This window comes from Homo sapiens, chromosome 13, assembly GCF_000001405.40.
Source record: "Homo sapiens chromosome 13, GRCh38.p14 Primary Assembly".
Taxonomy (NCBI): Eukaryota; Metazoa; Chordata; class Mammalia; order Primates; family Hominidae; genus Homo; species Homo sapiens.
Window position 1 is genome coordinate 36,904,966 of NC_000013.11, and position 23,279 is coordinate 36,928,244.

At 42.1% G+C, this 23,279-nt stretch overlaps 1 protein-coding gene and 2 pseudogenes across 16 annotated transcripts in view, besides 3 other annotated features; 1 reads left to right on the forward strand and 2 right to left on the reverse strand.

Moving 5' to 3' along the window:
- SMAD9 (SMAD family member 9) overlaps positions 1-15,889 on the reverse strand; it is a 76,024-nt gene extending 60,135 nt beyond the window's left edge. For 8 of the 16 annotated variants that reach the window (XM_047430366.1, XM_005266404.4, XM_047430365.1 and 5 more), the window contains exon 1: positions 15,151-15,273. The gene's annotated coding sequence lies outside the window, so the exon portion shown is untranslated. Of the gene's footprint in view, positions 1-2,584; positions 2,707-11,813; positions 15,072-15,150; positions 15,274-15,669 lie in introns of those variants that run through there. The other 8 variants (XM_047430367.1, NM_001378621.1, XM_047430362.1 and 5 more) reach the window with 4 other exon arrangements.
- Positions 15,184-15,253: a silencer, noted in NCBI's record as "silent region_5268". NCBI's record gives its function as "represses an Ori minimal core promoter by ATAC-STARR-seq in GM12878 lymphoblastoid cells {active_cell/tissue: GM12878}" and the evidence as "EXISTENCE:reporter gene assay evidence [ECO:0000049][PMID:35858748]".
- Positions 15,364-15,413: a silencer, noted in NCBI's record as "silent region_5269". NCBI's record gives its function as "represses an Ori minimal core promoter by ATAC-STARR-seq in GM12878 lymphoblastoid cells {active_cell/tissue: GM12878}" and the evidence as "EXISTENCE:reporter gene assay evidence [ECO:0000049][PMID:35858748]".
- Positions 17,478-18,725, forward strand: LAMTOR3P1 (late endosomal/lysosomal adaptor, MAPK and MTOR activator 3 pseudogene 1; annotated as a pseudogene).
- Positions 21,187-21,688: an enhancer, noted in NCBI's record as "H3K4me1 hESC enhancer chr13:37500289-37500790 (GRCh37/hg19 assembly coordinates)". NCBI's record gives its function as "activates a minimal SCP1, AML or CMV promoter by ChIP-STARR-seq in naive H9 embryonic stem cells {active_cell/tissue: H9 hESC(naive)}" and the evidence as "EXISTENCE:reporter gene assay evidence [ECO:0000049][PMID:30033119]".
- RPL29P28 (ribosomal protein L29 pseudogene 28) lies at positions 21,354-21,865 on the reverse strand (annotated as a pseudogene).

Here is a 23,279-nt window from a genome sequence, read left to right on the forward strand (position 1 = left end):
TTTTCATCCTTTTATCACCATTCTGCCATCAGAACTCAGCTCAGGCTATTATCACACTGAGCACTGAGGGAAGACGGAGATGATTTTGCCCCCCACGGGACATCTGGCAATGCCTACAGAAATTTTTGGTTGTTGTAACTGGGGGAGGGAGGTGCCACTGGCCTCTAGTGGGCAGAGGTCAGGGATACTGTTAAACATCCTACAAGTTGGAGGACAGTCCTGAGAATGATCGGGCTCCCAATACCAACAGAGTGGAGGTTGAGAAACCCTCATCTAGACTTTAATTACTTGAAATCGACTTGGTTGTTTTACCCCACTCCCATTCTTTCTCTGTTGTAATTCACTCTTCCTGAAAATCTTAATCATTCTTATCCTGTTCAAAAGGTCTTACACTTCTTTTGAGTATCTTCTTTTGTTAGTTACAGTTACTGCCAGATTTTCAGTAATACTAATCAATATATCAATATGAAAAGGCAGAACTGGAGCCGTTTTAAAAATTATTACTTCCGGCCAGACACGGTGGCTCACACCTGTAATCCCAGCACTTTGGGATGCCAAGGCGGGCAGATGGCTTGAGCCCAGGAGTAAGAGACCAGCCTGGGCAACATAGCCAAACCCCATCTCTACAAAAACAAAAACGAAAAACAAAAAAACAAAAATTAGCCAGGTGTGGCTCTGCAGGCCTATAGTCTCAGCTACTAGGAAGGCTGAGGTGGGAGGATCACTTGAGGCTGGGGAGTTCGAGACTCCTGTGAGCCGAGATTGTACAACTGCACTCCAGCCTAGATAAAAGGGCAAGACCCTGTCTCAAAAAAAAAAAAAAAAAAAAAAAAAAAAAAAAAAAAAAAAACTTATATCCTTTGTTATATTTTTTTAAAAGTTTTGTTTATTGTTTTGAAAATAAAGATAGGGTCTCGCTATATTTTCTTGCTATGTCTCAAGCAATCCTCCCGCTTCAGCCTCCCAAAGTGCTAGTATTACAAGTATGAGCCACTGCGCCTGGACGAAAATTCTTATTTCTAATCTACATGCTTTACAACTCTTAAATCAAACGAAAGTTTTAAATAAGGAGAACACCAAGGGAAAAATAACAAAGACTCTAAGGAATGGCAGCTAATTTTTCTTCACTGATCAAATTTCTACAGCCACAAAGGCCAAATGGCCCTTCAAATTTCATTTGAAGAATAAATGCTGTGTCATTGAATGTTATATCACACACTGGACTGTTATCTCTTATGCTGGCTAGGTATCTTTTATTCTAACCATGATTTATTTAAAATTAATGTGAACAAAAATTGGTGGGTTTTTAAAAACAGGAAATTTTAAAAAATGTTTTATTCCTTTTATTTATATGACCGTATGTTATGGAATTCCACGTAAGTATCTTAGATGTGAAAAGACACTTACATAAATAAATGGAAAAAAATGCAGTTTCTCGAGAAATACCTCACTAAAAACCATATTCTATGCAAATCATACTTCTGATAAGGGATACACATCCAGAATATATCTCATCACCAGGAAATTGAGACAAAAAAGAAAAAAGTTAACAGAATATATTTAAAAATTCTTAAAACTCAACAACAACAAAAAACAAACCACCCAATTCAAAAGAGGCAAAGCACTAGAATAGACACTTCTCCAAAGAAGATATACAAATGGCAAATAAGCACATAAAAGGAGGTTCAACATCATTAGTTACTAGGGGAATGAGTGCAAACCAAAATCACAAGGTACCACTTCATACCCACTAGGATGGCTCTTGTTAACAAAACAGAAAATAACAAGTGTCAGCAACAATGTGTAAAAATCAAGGATGTGCAAAAATTTGCACATTGTTGATGAGAATGTAAAATGGCTTAGCAGGTGTGGGAGAGAGTCTGGGAGAGCCTCAAAAAAGTAAACGTAGAATTACCATGTGAGCCAGTAACTGCACTCCTAATTATACACCAAAAACAAGAAAATAGGTACTCAATGTTCATAGCATTATTTACAATAGCCAAAAAGTGAAAACAACCTAAACATCCATCAACAAATGAATGAATGAACAAATTGTTATATATATACAATAAAATACTACACAACCATTAAAAAGGAATGAAATTTTGACACTTGCTACAATGTGGATGAACCTTCAAAAGATTATGCTGAGTGCAATAAGCCAGACACAGAAGGACAAATGATGCATGATTCCACTTACTTATATGAAATATCTAGAATAGGGAAATTCATAGAGAAGAAAGTAGAATGAAGGTTACCAGGTGCTAAGAGAAGGGGAAAATGGGGACTATTGTTTAAATGGTACAGAGTTTCAGTTTGGGAAGATGAAAAAGTTCTGGCAATGGATAGGGTGGTAGTTGTACATAAAACCGGAATGTGCTTAATGCCACTGAACTATATGACTAAAAATGCTGAAAATGAGGCCATGTGCGGTGGTTCATGACTGTGATCCCAGGGCTTTGGGAGGCCAGGTGGAAAGATTGCTTGAGGCCAGAAGTACAAGACTAGCTTGGGCAACAGAGCGAGACCCCATCTCTACAAAAGTGGTTGTTGTTTTTGATTAGCCAGGCGTGGTGGCACCCACCTGTAATCCCAGCTACTCAGGAGGCTGAGGCAAGAGGATGGCTTGAGCACAGGAGTCTGAGGATGCAATGAGCTATGATTGCACCACTGCACTCCAGCCTGGGTGACAGCAAGACCCTGACTCTAAAAATAAATAAATAAATGTTAAAACGGTAAATTGCATTACTATTTATATTTTATCACAATAAAGGAAAATCCTATCCAAATGTTATAGTAATTTGCTTCATCACTACCTTCAAGGGATTTTACAAATGGAGTTTCTCCCTCTGCCAAATTAGAGGTATTTTAATAAACTCTAATTTTCAGGTAGAAAATAATGTGCCATCGGTACCTGGAAGCCTTGGAAGAAAACAGAATCCCTGATAAGGTAAAATGCTGGGAAATCTTCACACTCGCCCAGGCCCAGTTACATAGGTTAATCTCCTTTCAGCAGCCCACCCTCTCTGAAGGACAGCCAGTCCCATGAGATCCCCAGCAGGCTGCCTGCCTTTCAGATCCTTTCTTCTACTTAGTGCCAATTAATGTAAACATATCCATTTTCTCTGATGGTGGTGGTTTTGAGGGGGAGAAGAAAGTACTGTTTTTAAAATAACAGTTGCTTCTATACTAAAAAGGGGAGAAAATATGGAACAATCTCTAGAGAAACCTTTTTTAATGAGATCTGTTTTCTGTTTCACAACCATCCAACAGCAATGTTACATGCCATGAATCAGTATTATTCAGCTTGATTTTCTCAGAACAAGTTATTCTTGTAATGCAAACTATAAAATTTCTTCAGTCAAAACAAATAATTAAATACAACAAACATTCCTAGATTCAACAACTGTGAGCATTCTGAAAGAAGACAGAAATACAAATTTCTGTTATGCTAAATTTTACTAATACCCCAGAGTCTCCATGACTTCAAATCAATTGAAAAGTTCACAAAATTCAAAATTCATTCTTTCATAAAACTGACTTTAGGATCCCTCCTGGAATAGGAATATAACAGAATAGAATCTACTACATAAAAATATTATTGGGTTAAGTGAATTTACCTTACAATACACAACTAAATATGAGAATATTTGAAGTTCATTTTAAAAATACATCATCATCACTCCTGAATTTGGGTATACTGTGGCCCAGAGGAAGTGACATAATAATCGCATCTGATAAAATAGTCAAAAGGAAAAAAAAGAAGTGAAAATAAAAACAAATTAGCAACTAAACAACTAATTATGGTGGGAGGAGAAAGAACACACACAATCTCACTGTAAAATCAGAGACTCTCCAATAACGGCTGGATTTTTTATATTCACACTGAATTTCACATGAAACTGAAGGCCATGACTACAAGGGATATATGTGGCCCAAATGAAGACTCTTGGTTTACCAGGCAGCCTTGTGCTCATGGCAATGAAGTACTATGGTAAGCAGATGTCACTGGAATTTATACTTAATAAGCCACTTGGGAAGCCTTGGTCTACATTTACTTACATCCCTAAAATACAGTTCTCTTGGCCACTCGTACAGTTTTTTTGGCTAGAATGTTACTATTGATTGGATATCATTTTTAAAGTTTCAACGGAGATTTTGAATTATTTTTTAAATTAAAGAAACTAGATACAGTTTTTATTGTTGCTCATTATCACTTCTTTGGAAGACAGAACCACTATTCCATTGCCTGTTTGCTATGTAGTGAAAGGGAAGTAGAATGGGCATTAAAGCAGCAAAGACAGGAGTCTAAAGGTCATGCCCAATAGTTTGGGTCACTTAAGGTAGGTTTAGAATGTTCTATATTTTTCCATGTAATAGTCTGAATATTAAGATCATATTTAAACATTTCAGTGATAAGCCAACATAACAGTGATACAAGAGAAGGCCAGCACTACCTTGTAGAGATCATGGTGTAAGTTTCTAGTATTGCAACCTACATTCTTTACACATACGTAATAAACTGTATATAATTTACACACACATATAGTCAGCATATTCTTGGAAACACTGTATGCCACCCCACAAATGTGTTATTTTATTATTTAAGTTTGGAAGGGCCCACAATTTAATGCTTCCAGAAGCAAGAGGCAACATGATATAATGAATAAAACACAAGAATGGAGGAAGAAGACTCCAGTCTGAGTGCTAGTACCATCACTGTCATCTTCAAGTAATTAGTCACTTCCATATTGTTTCCTCCTCTGTAAAATGGAAACAATAGTCACTACCTTTTGTGCAGAAGTACTGAGGGGATGTGAGAGAAAGCAGTTTGAAAACTGTAAACTAAGATAATATTGTATATTACCAACATGGAGGTATACTTCTGTTTATTCCTCCTGTAGGCTTCACTGTGGGAGTTAAGAGGTGCCCCAAAAATTAAAAACAACCGGCTGGGCGCAGTGGCTCACGCCTGTAATCCCAGCATTTTGGGAGGCCGAGGCGGGTGGATCACGAGGTCAGGAGATCGAGACCATCCTGGCTAACACGGTGAAACCCCATCTCTACTAAAAATACAAAAAATTATCCGGGCGTGGTGGCGGGCGCCTGTAGTCCCAGCTACTCAGGAGGCTGAGGCAGGAGAATGGCATGAACCGGGGAGGCAGAGCTTGCAGTGAGCCGAGATCGCGCCACTGTACTCCGGCGTGGGGGACACAGCGAGACTCCGTCTCAAAAAAAAAAAAAAATTAAAAACAAGCTCTTTAAACTAAAATTTAACCACCATTGACTCCAGGATCCTCAAATACACTATGTTCAAATGTAGAGATGGAACCATAGTGAATATGAGAAGAGGGAGGGATGAAAACACAGACCACAGAGAATTTGCAGGGCAATGAGACGACTCTGCCTGATACTACCATGGTGGATACACGTCATGATACACTTGTCCAAACCCACAGAATGTACACCACCAAGAGTGAATCTCCCAAATTTCTACTCTGAGTCTGTATCCATACATTTTACACTTAAAAGCCCACTAAATATCATGAGGTGGGGGTTGTGAGTTGACGCCTGTAACATCAATTTCAAATAAGGCTGTTCGCAATCTGGCCTCCCCAGACTACATTCCCAGCCTCATCTCTTTTCACTCCCTTTGCCCATCACTCCTTCCCTCCCTGCCCAGAAGGCCCCTGTGCAGCTCTATCTTTCCTGCTCCTTCTTCAAAACAGAGCTGGAAGCCAACTTCCTGGAAACCTTCCCTGGAGGCCCCCAGGCAACAGCACTGATCAGCTCTCTGCTGCTCCTCTGGGCTTCCACAGCACCTAACATGTGCTAGTCACTCACAACAGCACTTACCACACTTGAATCCCCAGATTTGGTAAGTGTTTTCTCCAGAGATGCCTAGCCTTCTATCAGGCCACAAGCCAAGCCACATTGTGGTCTGTACTACCTACCTAGCATGCAGGAGGCCATCAATAAATGTTGAATGAATGAAAGTAAAATCCAGTTTTATCAATACCATTAACTATTGTATTATTAATATTATTATTACTATTTTGAAAAAGGGTCTTGCTCTGTCACCCAGGATGGAGTGCAGTGGCGTGATCATGGCTCACCGCAGCCTCAACCTGCCAGGCTCAATAGATCCTCCCCCTGCAGCCTCCTGAGTATCTGGGGCTACAGGCACGCCCCACCAAGACCAGCTAAATTTTTAAAATATTTTTCTCATAGAAGGGTTTTCACCATGTTGTCCAGGCTGGTCTCAAACTCCTGGGCTCAAGCAATCTGCCCCCCTTGGTCTCCCAAAGTGCTGGGATTACAGGCATGAACCATTGCACCTGGCCAACTATTGTATCATTAAGCCCCATGTAATTAATTGAAGTTCTAACCTAAAGCCCATTGCTTTACTAACGCAATACAATAAATTTCTTTGAAAGACAGAATTATATAATGCATTCCCTACTTCCTATGCATAGTCTATCTACTTAAGGTAATATTATATAGAGCATAATCTGTCTGAATACTTGTAAAGTATTAAATGACTATAAATCATCTGTTTAATATATATATTTTTAATGATGTGTGGGCAATTTTTAAAATTTTATAGATGTGTGTCTCGAGGAAGGCTGTTTCCCGGCCAAAGGCTGCCTGGGGGGGGGGGGGGCGGGTGGAGTTCATAAACTGATAAAGAATCACAAATAAGCCGTGTTATGAACTGCTGTTCGGGGAAGCTCAATTTATTTTTTATTTTTTATTTTTTGAGACAGAGTTTTGCTCTTGTTTCCCAGGACGGAGTACAATGGCACAATCTCAGCTCACTGCAACCTCTGCCTCCTGGGTTCAAGCGATTCTCCTGCCTCAGCCTCCCCAGTAGCTGGGATTACAGGCATGTGCCACCACACCCAGCTAATTTTGTATTTTTAGTAGAGATGGGGTTTCTCCATGTTGGTCAGGCTGGTCTTGAACTCCCAACCTCAGGTTATCCGCCCACCTCAGCCTCCCGAAGTGCTGGGATTGCAGGTGTGAGCCACCGCACCCAGTCGGGGAAGCTCAGATTTTTATTTGCTAAAGAGAAGCATGAAGCAGTGGAGATGGTGTGTCAACTGCTTAGCTAGGAGTTGTGGCCATTTAAAAGCATGCAAACCACTTGAATTTGTCTTCACTCTTCCAAATACCCCTTTGATTATGTGATTCTTCTGTTCAAACCATTTAATAGTTATCATGACTACGGGTTAAAATTGAATAGTTCTCCTTTGCCTACAGATTAAATCCAAATTCCTTGCCCTTCCTTCCACCTTACCCTACAAAAACCAACCTATTTAGGGAAGAGAAAGGTGGGATCGTTGAAAACCCAACATATTTAGGGAAGTGAAAGGTGGAGTGGTTCAAGTATCAACAATGAAGTGGACACTACCCTAGCAGCTGAATATTTCAAGATAAGACATGGTCCCTTTCCTCTATACTACTATTGAGACAGCAATCTAAACATATTATTATCAGGCAAGTAATAGGTGCACTATTACAACAGTTACTAGAAGAGTGTATTCAAAGTGGTCTGGAGGCCCCTGGCTGGCTAAAAGGGTTGGGTGGGGTTTCCTATAGGACCAGCCATGCAAACTCACTCACCCTTGAACCAGTAAAGGGTAGCAGGGAAAAACAGGAGGAAACTGTACAAAGGCTGGATCCTCCTCCTGACAGACTCAGGAAGTAGTGAAATTCCATGGCCTAGGGATGTTCTCAGCATCTCTAAGTTCTCATAAGGACTTACTGAAAGAATCTCTTCCTGTTTATGTCTTCTATTTTACCTCTACCTTCTAGTTTACCTCCCAAATCCCAAATGAGATCATTCTCATTATCCTTGACAAGACTAACTAAAAATTCACACACAGAAAATACGGAAGTCTAATCAGGAAAAATACAGTCATCCCCAGGTATCTATGGGGGATTCAGTCCAGAATCCCCACAGACACCAAAATCCAAGGATGCTCAAGTCCCTCGTATAAAATGGTATATTTGCATATAACCTACCACATCCTCCCTTATACTTTAAATCATCTTAGCTTACTTATAATACCTACTATACTGTAAATGCTATGTAAATGGTTTTTATATCTTATTTTTTATTTGTGTTATTTTTAATTTTTTCTCCAATATTTTTCATTTGTGGTTGGTTGAATCTGTTGATGCAGAAACTGCTGACTCACAGGGCCAGCTGAATAGAGAAATAAACCCAAATAGATTACAGTTTGGGGAAGTAAGACATCTTACTATTGGAGAAATATTTTAATATTTGCTTTCTTGATCTCTTTCACGCTAACTACACTATGAAATCCTGGAGACTAGGATTTTATTTTTGTCACTTCATTTCGTTGTGTAGTCCCCAGGGCCTGTTCTGGGGCCTCATAGGCAGGGTAGACACAATAGACACAGAGTAAATAATGGTTGAATGAATATCCTATACAAGCCCCATAAATTTACAAGTTCCACCTTCTAAAGTGATTGCTACACCCACAAAATTGCAACACTTTAAAACCCCAAGATATAATCAATACAACTTTAAAAAAATAAAGTGTATTTAGAATATCTTGTAATAAAATTAGATGCAATGACAACAGAAAGCAAGTAAAACTGCCACTCCTTTGAAATAATACCAACTTGTCATTATTTGCAAACACAGCCAACACCTAATGACTGCTTTGTGTAAACATATAGTCAATAAGCTGAAAGGGAAGCATTCATGTCCATAAATGTTTGTCTTTGACAAATATTTTATTCAACTCCTATTCCTAAAAATAAAATTCTACTTCCACTAGAAAACAAAGAATGACTAAATGCATAAACAAGACAAAGAAAACCACATGAGACCTAAAATCTTTTTAGCTTAACACATTTTTCATCTTCCACATTCATTACCACCATTCTTGGCTTCTAATAATCACTTATGTCATTAATAATAATCACCCATATCATCAATCACTGGTGGTCTTGCTTTATGAACAAATGGTGTTCAATCCTGCATAGTTATTTGGAAACTGGAATTCACCTTCCCCTAGAACAATGTCATGAGTGCTAATGTACTTCCCTGGCCAGCTCACTAGGATCCTCTCAACTCACAACGCAGGTGCCTTTCATACTACTAACACTAATTCAAATATGTGATGTCTACCTTTGGCATCTGCCAATCTGCTTTCTGTAACACCCTCTTTCCACACTTAGGTGCCTCAAACTTCTCAACAGTGCTACTGCCCAAGCCTTAAAATGACTTACTCTCGGGCCAGGCGCGGTGGATCACGCCTGTAAACCCAGCACTTTGGGAGGCCGAGGCCGGCGGATCATGAGGTCAGGAGATCGAGACCATCCTGGCTAACATGGTGAAACCCTGTCTCTACTAAAAATACAAAAAATTAGCCGGGCGTGGTGGCAGGTGCCTGTAGTCCCAGCTACTTGGGAGGCTGAAGCGGGAGAATGGCATGAACCCGGGAGGTGGAGCTTGCAGTGAGCCGAGATGGTGCCACTGCACTCCAGCCTGGGCGACAGAGAGAGACTCCATCTCAAAAAACAAAAACAAAACAAAAAAAAACTTACTCTTCCTTCTTCCTTCCTCACTCCTCCTCTCAGCCAAACTCCAATTCTCTCACTGTGATTCTCAGCAAAGAAAGGAGCAAGATGAATTCATGAACTTATGATGAAGTGTACTGATAAGAGATGTCAAATATTCTGCCACAAAGTGGGAAACTGATGGAATCTGTGAATCCCTTTCTGCGTTACCATTAACTCCTGAAATGTGGTACTACCAAGTCAGTTAAATTTAGATACAAGAATTCAGAAAGCAACTCCTGGCACTTCAGTTGAACGCTACCATCCATCAAATGCTTCTTAAAAAAGACCTGCAAATCTGCTGTAAGCTTTCCATAGCCCACAAGTACGTAGGACAAAATCCTTTAGAATGACATTAACCATTGCACAATTATTGCGTTTTGTGAAAACAAATCAAAATACACAGTAACCAAAGTAAATCTGTATTTGATAGGCTTCTAAGCACTTTAACAGATGAAAAGTAAAAAACAGGCTGTATGGAAGAAGATATTCCATAGATTAAAGCAGTCATTTAAGGCAAATGGCCCAGTGTATCTAGGGATGTGCTCCTGGGGTCAGTGAGTTCAGGATGTGGCTACCTCACAGTGTTCACACTTCTACTACTTGCAAACTCTAAGTCGTCAGAATCCTCAACTCAGAATCCCCAATGTCACCAACACGTTTGAATGGCCGCAAGACCACATGTATGCTATCCAGATTCCTTTGTTCAGTGATAGAAAACTGGCAACTGGAGTCCTAGAATGAATGGGCATCCCTGGCACTCCTAGTGCTTGTAAACTGAAGATTGCTTTTCGCAACTGCAGCACCAAACTCTCCTCGGGACTGAGGAGTACATGTTTTCTATTTATAGTCCCTCAGAATTAAATATGAAAAAGAAAAGGAAGTGATCAGATATTAAGTATTAAATTTCCCCAAGGGGAAATTCACATAAAAATAATCCCCACCAGTGAATCAGCTAATCAGAGTACCAAAGAATGAGACAAAGAGAGAGAGAGAGAGAGAAGATTTTGATATTTAATATCTAAAAAAGAGGAATTGGAAATTGTCATTATAGGAAAAAATCAGAACTACATAGGTCTCCTTTACAATTATTCTTTGGGTTAAACTTTTTTCTTTGAATTAAATGTGGGCTGGGAATGAGGGGGAAGAACCATAATCTCTTCAGTGCTTATGACTTCTAAAGTGTTACAACCGTGTGCACACACATATACAATCCACCTTAATATTTATGCCTTTTATTTTAAATTCTGAATTTAAATTTTATATTGGGAGTCGTTTTGATTCTTGAAAAATGCGTTTTGAGCTGATTAGAGCTTCCCAATTAAAACGGTACAACTGAATATATTATATGGGCATGACATTTATAAGCAAATTCTATTTTTTCACATCATATTAACTTTAATACTGGATTGTTACACAGAACATGATATATTTTAAAATGAGAGTTAGTATTGTTCGATAATAGAATGACCAAGGCACAGAAGGCAGATTCTGCCTGACGAGGCTGATAACAAGACCCTTTACACATCCAACGTGAACAAAGCAGCAGCTCATCTCAGTAGCAGTCTGCTTTTCTTTTGTGAGCATAGTTTGAAACACATACATTAAAAACAGTATCAATTTTTATGCGGCTATGGTGGGGGGAGGAATCAGCATATCGTGTTAGCAATTTTCTGTGGAATCACATTAGTGTTTCATTGTGGTAGCCGTATCACATTAAAATCTGTTTTTCTACTAAATGGCTTCCATTGTGTATTTAGTGAATCTGATATGGAAAACTGCTAATGCAATAAGAGTATCATAGAAGCTTTTCCTGACTGTAATGCTCAGCCACAATGTTCAGGAGAAGGAGGCTCTCAACTGGGCTGAGGGGATTTCAGGCCTCTGAACTAGTCCTCAGCTCAGATTCAACACCAGCTTCTTGAAAGATGGACTTTATCCTATGGGTGAAATGCTTTTACAGACTTTATTTCAGGAGGGACCATGGGTTCAGTGAAAAAATGTGTCATGTATTTGTTATTTATTGATAGAGTACTATAAAGGGCACTGTGGTCAGCATTCAGAGAATAAAAAAGGTAGATGAAACAGTCCCTTCCTTCCTGGATCTTGTAAGGATGGTCTGAGGGGAAGAAATAAATTAGTCTATGAGTAACTTAATACAAAACAGGTAAGAGTTGAAAAGGCGAAGAGCCACAGGAGCTCGAAGGAGGACATACCTGGGACCAGGGTCATCACAGAAAGTCCCGTGAAGGCAGCGCCTGAACAGGGCATACAAGATGAAGAAGTCATATTTGAGGATCCTGTGGGAGGTGGGGAAGCTGGGAAGGCCTCAGCGTGGGGTAAAGGTGCACAGGAGAGGAAAGCCAGGGTATGCATGGAAACTAGCATTTGCTATTTTAACTGCAGCATAAAATAGGGAAAGACCGGGAAGATAAGCCTGGAAAAGTGGTCTTGGGTCAGCCTAACACAAAAGGAAGCCGACACCAAAGGAGAGCAGAATACAAGTCAGGCAAGTGCGGCCGAGGTGTCCGTCATGGTTTTGGGGTAGGAAGTGTCAGGATGAAGACCACCAAGCAAGAAGAACATCCAGTTTTCATGGGTATAATGACTCCTAATGCTAACAGATATCTTGAAATCCTAACAACTTTAGTTGACACAAGTTTCTTAAGAGACAAAATTTACCGGAATATTTATTTTAAAAGGTTAGTTTATTACCAAGGGATAATTGTTTATTTTTTTAATGTCCTTACTTAGGACATGGACATTCACCAGGATAACATGAAACATTGTGAAAATGCTCACAGTATTGTTAAGTACTTATGCATTTACTGTTTGCATTTTTTTTTTTTGCTTTAGAATAACTTTTCAACCCACTAGCAACAGTAACCAAGGAAATATAAATCCAACAGCCTAGAATTACAACTATTTGAGAAGATTCATGGTTTCAACGTACTGCTATATTTACTGTTTCATTCTGGACAGTTTCCCGTTTCTTTAACTCCTCTCTAAGTGTCCAAAACAATATACAGAAAGTCTGCACTAAGCTTCGTTAAAGCTTTAAAATTTAGCATAGTATGTCTGGCAAATCAGAAAAACCACATATTTGTCATAACCTTTACCTTCCCTAAAATCAGAGTACATCCTGTGGATAAGGATTATTTCCCACATATTAAAGCAGAACATGATGAAACTGCTGTCCTATTTATTACAGAGGGAATGTCAGATATAAAGTAGTTACCTTAATCCTACGGTGCTCACTTACGAAACACCATCCCTCCAGTTTGGCAATGCATAGTGCACTCTCATTAATCAGAATTAAACTATTTGGAAAACATATTGAGTATTTTCATATTGACATTGAATATTTTCATCTTTATGAAACAATTTCTGGACAGACTTTTTTCCCTCCAACTGACCACATGATTAGTAAAGATAGTGTACCACTTGTTTATTACTTATGGATATCTTTAGTAATGTTTCATTTAAAAAACAAAACAAAACTCTTCTTTCTCATCCATGTCTTGGGCAATCACAGATGCAAGAGTTGACATCTGTGAATATTTTCTGATTACTTACTAACTAGGAATATATAAGTTAAAAAAATTTTTTAAAGGAGAAAAGCCAAATAGTTCATGTTGACTTTGAAAGACTGATGACAATGATGTGGCAATTCTAAAGTACTTAGAGGTTTAACCCAAAATTTGTTTACGTCTTTGATTTTTAGTAAACACTGCACTGATAAACATGAGTTTGTTCAGATCAAGAGTATGTTGGCATTCTCTTAAGCATAGTTTGAAACCAGAGAGCTCAAGCATAAAACAGCTCTGACAAAGATAACCAGTCAAGCATAAAAATGGGAGTTGGTTGTGTCAGAATACATTAAGAGGCCGAAGGCTGTCTGGCAGACAGCTGTCTTGCCATCACTGAAGGTGACTATTACCACTAAAAGTTGTTTTTCGGATACAGTACTTGAAATTGCTGTCATCTTGTATTTAAAATGCTCCTTATTTATAAAGCGTCACATCCTTTTCTTATCTGAAGCCTCCTTCTTGGATAACCACAAACCTAAAAGCAGTCTAAAATTGTGCTGATGCTTTCCTACAAGCACAGGGAAACTCTTATATTGAATCTTTGTCTATTTGGAGTTGAGAATGTCTTTGGCTTTTATTTTAAATGCCTTCTTAAATATAGATCACTATTTTTAAAATGTAAACATCCAAAGGCATTCCCTCACACTTGGAGGAATGCTAAGGCAGGAGACATGCTTGTAGTAGTCACATTTCACTTTCCCAGACGGGTGCCACAAACGTTCCGCTCAGTTACTGCTTAGGAGGCAGCATTATTAAATGCCTCACGACTTAACGGTCAGCCTCCATGCTTCTTGCTAACCTACATTTCCAAAAGATCATCCGAGAAATCTGGCAAGCCACCGAAATGGTACTAGTAAACTGGATCCATCCAAAGCACTCCACAGTGCCCTGTGGGTGTGTTTCTCACTGTAAACTACTGGGTAAAGAATTTACATACAATTTTATCTCCAAACTCGATTTGTATCCTTTGTAGGTTAGTTCTCAGGAGTACCCACTCCAGCCCAGAAATAAGTCAACGTAGTATTTCCAAACTATCACTTCAAATGTCCACGGTCAAGGGCAGGAGGAGGAAGGAATAGTAACGGGAAAACTTGTCAGCGATTAGCCATCCATAAAAATGTTCTCCCAGCGCTCCTCCTTCCGATCACAAAGCTGGCGTCAGGCAGTCTCCTGTATCTGCTTCCCACCTCGCCCCCTCCCCTCTGCGGAGAGCTGGCACCGAGGGGCGGGCCAAGGAAAAGACAAACACCCCGGCTCCGACACAGTCCAAGCGCGAGCCCGGAGACACTTCAACAACATTCCTAACTTTTTTTCTCAGTTCGCATGCCTCAAAGGTAAACAAAGCAAAAAGCCTACGAAACAGAAGGCAAGTGAGGCCAATTCGGCGCTGGCGAGTTTAAAAGTGGCCCCCAAAGAGTCACAATGACGACCCCCGCCGCCCCCTCTGTCCGCTGTCCCCTATCTCCAGCTACAGCAAGCGACCCCTCAGGCGCCTATCCTGGTCCCTGCCCACGCCCCGGGCCCCAGCCCCGACCCGACCGCCGCCCCCGCCGCGGGTCGAACATCCCCTGACAGGTCCCGGGGCCCGCGGCGCGGGCGGATGCAGGCGCGAGGAAGGCGAGCTGCGCCGCGGCCAACTCCCCAGAGCAGTCCCCTCCGGCCCCGCGCCCACCCCACCCCACCCCACTCCACCCCAGACAGGCTCCACCAAAAAACCCGGGAACAACGACCGCCAAAAGCCAAGCCTCACGCCGAGGAGCCTCCCAGGCTGCCCCGAGGACGAACAACTTCGCCCTCCACTCAATGCGCTCACACGCACGCACACAAGCAGCGCGCGGCCGAGGAGGGCACGTCTTACCTGTCCCCGCCGTGCCACTCATCCCTCCCCCACCCAGGTCCGGCGCCCCCAACCCCGCCCCCGCCGTGGTCCCCCGGCCGCCCGCTCCGAGCGCCGCGCACTCACTGCCTGGCTGCGCGCGCCCAGCGCCTGCAGGGCCCGGCGGCGGCGGCGGGGACCGAGACAGCGGCTGCAGCAGCGGCGGCGGCGGCGGCGGCGGCGGCGGCCCCAGCCGGCGTCAGTCAGACTGGAGCCGCGAAGCCTCATCGCCCGTATTAGTGCGCCGACCTGGAAAGCGGCCAGGGAGCCCTGCTTGCGGCCCGCCCCCGCCCGCCGCCGCGCGCTCTGGCCGCTCCGGGAGCCGCAGAGGAGGGGGCTGCGCGGGCCCGGCGGGGGGCGGGAGCGAGACCGGCCCCACGGCCACGTGCGCGGAAACTCGCGGCGCGGGGGTGGCGGGGTAGTACTCCTCGCAGCGGCCTGCGGCTCGGTTCCCGCCTCTTCCCCACCCCCAGCCCCGCGCTGCCCTCTCGGTCCCCCTGCGCGACCCCAGGCTCGGCCCCTGCCCGGCCTGCCGGGGTGGCCCGGGGGTGGGGTGGGAGCCCTTTGTCTGCGTGGGTCGCCTCGCGTCTCTCTCTCCCACCCCACCTCTGAGATTTCTTGCCAGCACCTGGAGCCCGAAACCAGAAGAGTTGTCAGCCCAACAAGAATATAGGATCACCGGCCCATCAGTCTGGAGACCCTTCTGAGCTGCTGTTCCTCACATGTTTCTGGGCCCTGATAGTGACTCTCACTTGCCCTGTTTGTTCCTGATTTGCTTTTCGGAGTAAGGGGATCCTGTCCCCATGGACAGTGACAGAGCAACTGGGCCGCAATGGCATAGGCAGAAGAAAATCTAATCACTCTGGGGGTGAGTGGTGGTTAAAACGACTCATGTAATTATGTGGATTGTAATTTCCTTACACATATTTATTTGCTTAACAACCCAGCATGTGAGATATATTATCTAATCTAATAAAAGATACAAACTTATGGGCACACAGCAATGTTACTGTACAACTTTCTCGTCTCACGGCCTGGCTGTCCCCCAGGTAGCCTGCCTCTTAAAGTCACTGTGGACTCCTGGAACCCACTCAGAAACGCCACTTAGGAAGAACCACCTCTGATTCCCCATCAGCCCGTAGTTCCTCACAGAAAAGGCATTTGCTGCAGGGGTGAACGTGGAATAAAGCCACAGGGCAGTTTTCAGCTTGCTCCTGTGTGCAGGAAAGTCATACCTCCAGTTGGCCCCGATGGCGGCTCCGAAATGTAAAGCAAGGCCTTAAATTTAACTGCTTTTTCTAGTTCTCAAAGCACTGCACTTTCTTCATGGCAGATGCTATTTTTGCATTATTATACCGTTGTAGTTGAACGGTGATTTGTTTAAAACAACATTTGCAGCAGAACCTTAAATACCATGCCTTAACCTCAAAGTCTTCTTTCTACACTGGCCCAGATACCTCTGCACCCGGCTATGTGTTGGGTTTGAGATTGTCCTGGGTGAGAAACACCAGGAAACAGCGGGACCGGTAAGGGCTACAGATTATATATTAAGGATTAGGCTGGATGTGGACTTTATTGCCAGTAAACTAATTAGGTCCTCAGAATTGATACCTTGTGGCTCAAGTTTTTAAAAATTAAATTAAGAAAAGAAATGGCCCAATCACTATCTCAGTTTCCTTCTCGTATATGAGCATAATGCAGAGGACAAGATGCAGAGAAAGAAATTATAACCTCTGCAGCGCTGGCTCATGCTTCTGGCATGGAGTCTTTCTCAGTTCGCAGAATTCTCTTGACTCTTGGCAGGCCTTTGATTTAGAGTATGTCTAGTCTGCTCTTTTCTGTACGTTCTCATTTACATACCAGGATATTTCTGCACGATGATGACTTTTTCCTGCCTAAACATTAGTCTGTCACTGATATAATTCCTATCATGTATTCCTCAAGGCTAGTATAGAAAGTTAATCCATTACGCTCAAGAACAATAAGATCTGGTGAGTTCCAAGAAGGAGAAAATGCTTGGCCTAAGACAGAAGGCGCAGTGTTGACACTCCATTTTACAGAAGCTGACTGTCCTGGTTAATGGAAAGCTAGACTTCGCTTTATCTTTCCCAGTGATTTCTTGATTGGCTGTGGTTTTACTGCTTAATAGAACTTCCACCAAAACATTCTGTTATGGGAATCATATGAAAGGAGAGACTCAGAGGTTGTGATTTGGTAGAACCGCCAGTGAAATTTTGGTTCAGGACCTCAAAACCACGGCAAAACTGAAATCTGTTTTCTGAAAGATGATAAGGTCTTGGCCTAACACGAACTCCCTCAGGCTATAAAACAGTGGTAGGAAGGGCAGCTTCCTTACCCCAAGAGAGAGCCAATTCTTTGCATTTGCCATATACCCAGCATAAAACCAGACTGTGGTCTTTGAAGCTGTTCCTGAAGTGACAGTGGAGAGAACCGGGCAGCCCAGAAACCCCAGGCAAGGAGATTGATCCTGCAAGAGAAGGGGGTTCATCATGGCGGATGACCTAAAGCGATTCATGTATCAAATGTTACAAAGTGTTGAAGGGCTCCATGCTATTGTTGTGTCAGAGTTGGAGTACCTGTTATTAAAGTGGCCATTGATAATGCTCCAGAGCATGCTTTGAGACCTGGTTTCTTACCTACTTTTGCCCTTGCAACAGACCACGGGAGCAAACTTGGACTTTCAAAAAATAAAAGTATCATCTGTTACTGTTACACCTACCTGGTGATTCAGTTAAATCATTTACCTTTGGTGGTGAGTTTCATAGCCAGCAGCAATGCCAATACAGAACTAATTGTCAGCCTAGAAAAGAAACTTACTCCATTATTTGAAGAATTGAGACAAGTTGTGGAAGTTTCTTAATCAGACAGTGGTTTCAATGTGTACCTTATCTTTATTATAACAACACAATATCGATCCAGCAATCTTTAGACCATAATACTTTTATCCATGTCCTCAAGAAAGGGCCTCTTTTTCCAACTTATACTGAAGAGCAAGCATATAGATAAAATTTATGGACGGATTGATTGTTATATTTTCTGGTGTAGGGTCTTTTCTTATTTAGTGAGATCTGGGGATACCACAAAAATAGTTCAGTCTGTCACAGCACCCATGGAGTTAGTCCAGCCACCAAATATGGATGAGATTCTATTCCGTGGATCAGAATCAAACTGGTACATTGATCCATTTGAGCCATTAAGTGCTCTCTATTGTACAATCTGCCCAGGCCTGCAGAATGAAGCAGATTTTTTATTGCGAATAATAATGAGATATTTTTCTTCAGATTATGTTTTATTTCTTCTCATTGAGTGTGAGGAACATAAAATGGCTTAGTAAAAGCAATAAAATCAGTACAGTCACTAGCTTTCCTTTGTACTTATTACTTTATGATATAGATGAATATTACTGATTGGTTTGATTCTTCTCAGAGGGTGCTGCTCTTTAATGAAAATAAAAATTATAGCTAATGGTTTTTCCTCAAACTCTGCTTTCTATAACTAATCAGTGTTTTAATGTTTGTGTGTTCTTTATAAAATTTAAATGTAATTGGTTACTGAATTCTGTTTCCAATATTAGTATTATGTAAACATGATAGTATAACCATTTTTTCATGTGAGTATACATAAAATAGTATTAAAAAATAAAAAAATAACAGATTGTAACAAAGTCTGTAGTCATCCATGGATGCAAAGATTCTGCTTTGTACGTCTCTTGTACCTTAAGTTTGAGCTAGCATGATAATGGTTCCACTCAGAGTAATAACTAGGAATCATAGCCTCCACACTCCTCCCACCTCAAGTCTCCTTTCTAAATTTTATCTGTAACTCTGTCCTGATGCTGCAGTTTTTCTGCCTCCCATTCGGACTTTCCTTGAAAGTCATCTTTCATTCCATAATCACTATTGAATGCTTTCCTAAGTACCAGGCACCCGAATTAACTATATGAACACAGAGCACTGGCCCTTAGTAAAGGCAGCCTAAGAGAGAGATACATCTACCAACGATTATCACACAACTTTGTGTGTCACCGTAGGGGAGTGGGCACAGGGAGGTGTCAGGGAGGTCTTCACAGGGTCGAAATTTTAGCTCCAACTTGAGAGCATGAACACTTACTGTCCTGCACCCCCCTGGGCCTCCACCCTGCCTGAGTGGGTGCAGCCCTGCAGGTGTCAGCCTCACAGCAGAGTGCAGGCTGCACTTCAGCCCACTTGCCACCCTGGCCTGACACTCTAATGCAGGCCCAACTTGTTCAATCATGAAGGCAGAATGCCTACTATGTGCAGAATTCCCTGAGGCTTTGAGTAGAAAAGCCTCAGTTTTCCTAAGAGAATTGTCAAACTAGTTGGATAGATAAGAAAAACAATGTTAACACAGCAGTTCATCACCAAATACATTCTAAAGGATTGAGACAAGAGAGCAATGGACCATCTTGACTCAGCAGTGAGGATCAGATGCTGCCTCCATTGTGAGAGTCCCCCAACCGGGAACTGGACTGGCGCTTCCCACACCTCCTCTCATTTCCCTCTCATGACCTCTCACGGGAGAATTATCATCTGCATTTTACGTTGAGGAACCTGAGGGACACACAGACTATCCCCTCCAGGCTGCCTTTCTCCAACGCCCAGGTTTTTACACCTCATTGTTGTCCTGGAACTTGAAGTGGAGTTGAAAAGTGATGAACATGGGCAGTGACATCCCAGGAAGAATAATCTACACAGGCTAGAAGGTGGAAGGGGCTGAGGGAGAAAAGTTTGTAGAGAGAAGAGGTAAGGAGACCAATTAGGAAGCCATTGCAACATTCTAGGCATGAGGTGATGGGCGTCTGTGGGATTCTAGAAAAGTGAGGAGGAGATGTATTTATGGACACTTTGAAGAGATAATCAATAAACTTTGGCAAAAAAAAAAAACTGGAGGAATCAAGGACCGAAGACGGGAGGAAATGCTACCTTTAGAAGAAATTGGTTAATAAGTACTATGAAGCAGGAAACTATGCTTTGGGGAAAAAAGATAAAAGAAAATCACCCTCCTCTTCCCACAATTGTTCCTAAAATGTATTTACCTTTTTCCACCTCAGAGCAGCATCACTACATGAAATTATATAAACTATGTATATGTTTGTTTTGACTGGCTCCTCTGTTAGAAGGCTGGTCTTGCTCACTACTTGTATCCCCACAGCCTGGAACAATGCCTGGCACATAGTAGGTGCTCAATAAATATTGGTCGAATGAATGAAATGTTTAGTATGTGGTGAAAAATATTCGGAAAGTAATTAGAAGACAGATGTGGCTTTGCCATTCTAAAGGGAGCGATTGCTATGCAGCTCCAGCCAGCTGTGGCCGTGTGAGAATAAGAATATCCTTTCAAGAGATAACAGACATCCAGAATTTTATGGAAAATCTTACAACTTAAAATAGTTTTTTTCTGTTGCCCAGGCTGGAGTGCAGTGGTGTGATCTAGATTCACTGCAACCTCCGTCTCGTGGGTCCAAGCAATTCTCCTGCCTCAGCCTCCCGAGTAGCTGGGACTACAGGTGCATGCCCCCATGCCCAGCTAATTTTTGTATTTTTAGTGGAGATGGGGTTTCACTGTGTTGATCAGGCTGGTCTCGAACTCCTTATCTCCAGGTGATCCGCCCGTCTCGGCCTCCCGAAGTGCTGGGATTACAGGCAGGAGCCACTGTGCCCAACCACAACTTAAAATATTTTGCAACCCACCTGGGTTTTATGGTGAACCAAGTTTGGCTAACAATTTGCAGCCTCTGGGTTTCACTTCTCTTAAGTCCATTTGGCATCTCTCTTTTTGTTCTATGAGAGAGAAACAATAACCAAGGTCATGAAATCAATCAAATTAGAGCTTTTCGTCCTGGGAGAGAACAAACCCTTTCTCAAACCGACACAATATTTGGCCTTTCTTCCACTGTCAGACTTCACAAGGAGGGCTGATATTTGTTTCTTCTTCCTTGCCACCCCACCCTTCCTAATTTCACCAAATCTGGCTTTTGTCTTCCGCTGTGCACTGTTTGATTTCAGTGCTGTTCTAATATTCTTAGAGGTCACCGGTGACCTTTTAATCATTAATTCAGTGTTTTGTTGACTATCATTCTTTTTAAAAAAATTTTGAAACGCACCTTTATTATTTCAGTTAAATTCATGTTACTATTGGAGTTAATCAGATTTATTCATTTATTTAAAAATGTGCTTAGTAATATGTTATTTGGAACCATTTTAGGGACTAGATGAGACTGACTTTTTTTTAATGTCTGATTTTTTTTTTCCTGCCTCAGATTTATTTGTACAAATAGCACAGGAGAACACCAACCCCATGTACACGGCAGCCCGGGGGTGTCGCGCTAGTCCTCTGTCCTCACGTTGGCAGACAAAGACAAAGATCTCTACTCTGAAGCCTTTGTGGGAGGCTGGGCACCTAGGAAGCCTGAGCTGGAACTGGAGCTGGAGCTGCAGTCTGGGTCTTGATTTATTCCTTGGCCTTGGCCTTGGCCTTTGGCCAGCACAGCCTGAGCCCCTGGGCAATGAGGGCACTAGCATACTTCCCAAGCTTGGGGTAGGGCAATATAGGCAAGTCGATCAAGCTTGCAGCTGACTCCCTTTGGGATCTTGGGCTTAACCTCCTTGGGCTTTACGAGGGCCTCGATAGCCTTGGCACGTGCACTCATGGCCTTGGCACTGTTGGCCTGCATCTTCTTTGGGCCCTTCTTGTTGTGCTTCTTGGCAAAGCACATGTTCCTCAGGAACTCAGGGCCCATCCCCCTTAAGAGATTCATATCGGCTGGGCGCAGTGGCTCAGGCCTGTAATCCCAACACTTTGGGAGACCGAGGCAGGTGGATCATGAGGTCAGGAGATCGAGACCATCCTGGCTAACACAGTGAGACCCCCATCTCCACTAAAAATACAAAAAATTAGCCAGGCGTGGTGGCGGGCACCTGTACTTCCAGCTACTCGGGAGGCTGAGGCAGGAGAATTGCCTGAACCCGGGAGGCGGAGGTTGCAGTGAGGCAAGATCCAGCCACTGCACTCCAGCCTGGGCAATAGAGCAAGCCTCCGTCTCAAAAAAATAAAAGAGAGAGATTCATATCTTTGTGATCAGAGTTTCTTGATGCCATTTCTGTGCAGTTTTTGGGACTGGTTGTGTGTGTGGTTCTTGGACTTAGACATGTCTGCATCGTAAGCCGTGGCTTCCTGGAAGTGGAAGCTAATGTCTTTAATTTTTTTAAATGTATAGTTCAGTAGTCTTAACTATTGTCTTGCAGCAACAGATCTCTAGAACTTTTTTATCTTGCAAAATTGAAACTCAATGCCTATTAATCACTAATGCCCTCTCCCCCGGTTAGAAACTACCTTTCTACTTTCTGTCTCTGTGATTTTTGACTGATTTGGATACTTCATATGAGTAGAGTCGTACAGTATTTGTCTTTTTGTGACCGGCTTATTTCACTTAGCATAATGTCCTGGAGGTTTATCCATGCTGTAGCATGTGACAGGATTTCTTTATTTTTTTAAGGCTGTATAACATTCTGTTATTGCGTGTATATACCATATTTTCTTTATCCATTCATCAGTGAACATTTGAGTTGCTTCTGCCTTGTGGCTGGTGTGAAAAAATGAACATGGGTGTGCAAGTATCTCTTTGAGATTCTGCTTTGAATTCTTTGGATATATATCCAGAAGTGGATTGTTGGAGCAAACAGTAATTCTGTTTTTAATTTTTTGAGAAAACGCTGTATTGTTGTCCACAATGGCTGCCACATTTTACACGCCCACCAACAGTGCACAAGGGTTCCAATTTCTCTACATCCTTGCCAACTCTTGTTATTTTGTGTTCTTTTGACAGTGACCATCCTACAGGGTGCGAGAAGATGGCTCGTTGTGGCTTTGATTTGCATTTCTCTTATGAATAGTGCTGTTGAACATCTTTTCGCATGCCTGTTGGCATTTGTATACCTTCTTTAGAGAAATGTCTGTTCAAGTCCTTTGCCAATGTTTTATTCTGGTTGTAATTGTGGTTGTTGTTGATGTCCAGTTGTAGGAGTTTCTTATGTAATCTGAAGATGAACCCTTATCAGATATGTGATTTGCAAATATATTCTCCCGTTCTGTAGGTTGATTTTTTTATTCTGTTGAATGTTTCTTTTGATGCACAGACGTTTTTTAAGTTCGATGTTGTCCCATTTGTCTATTTT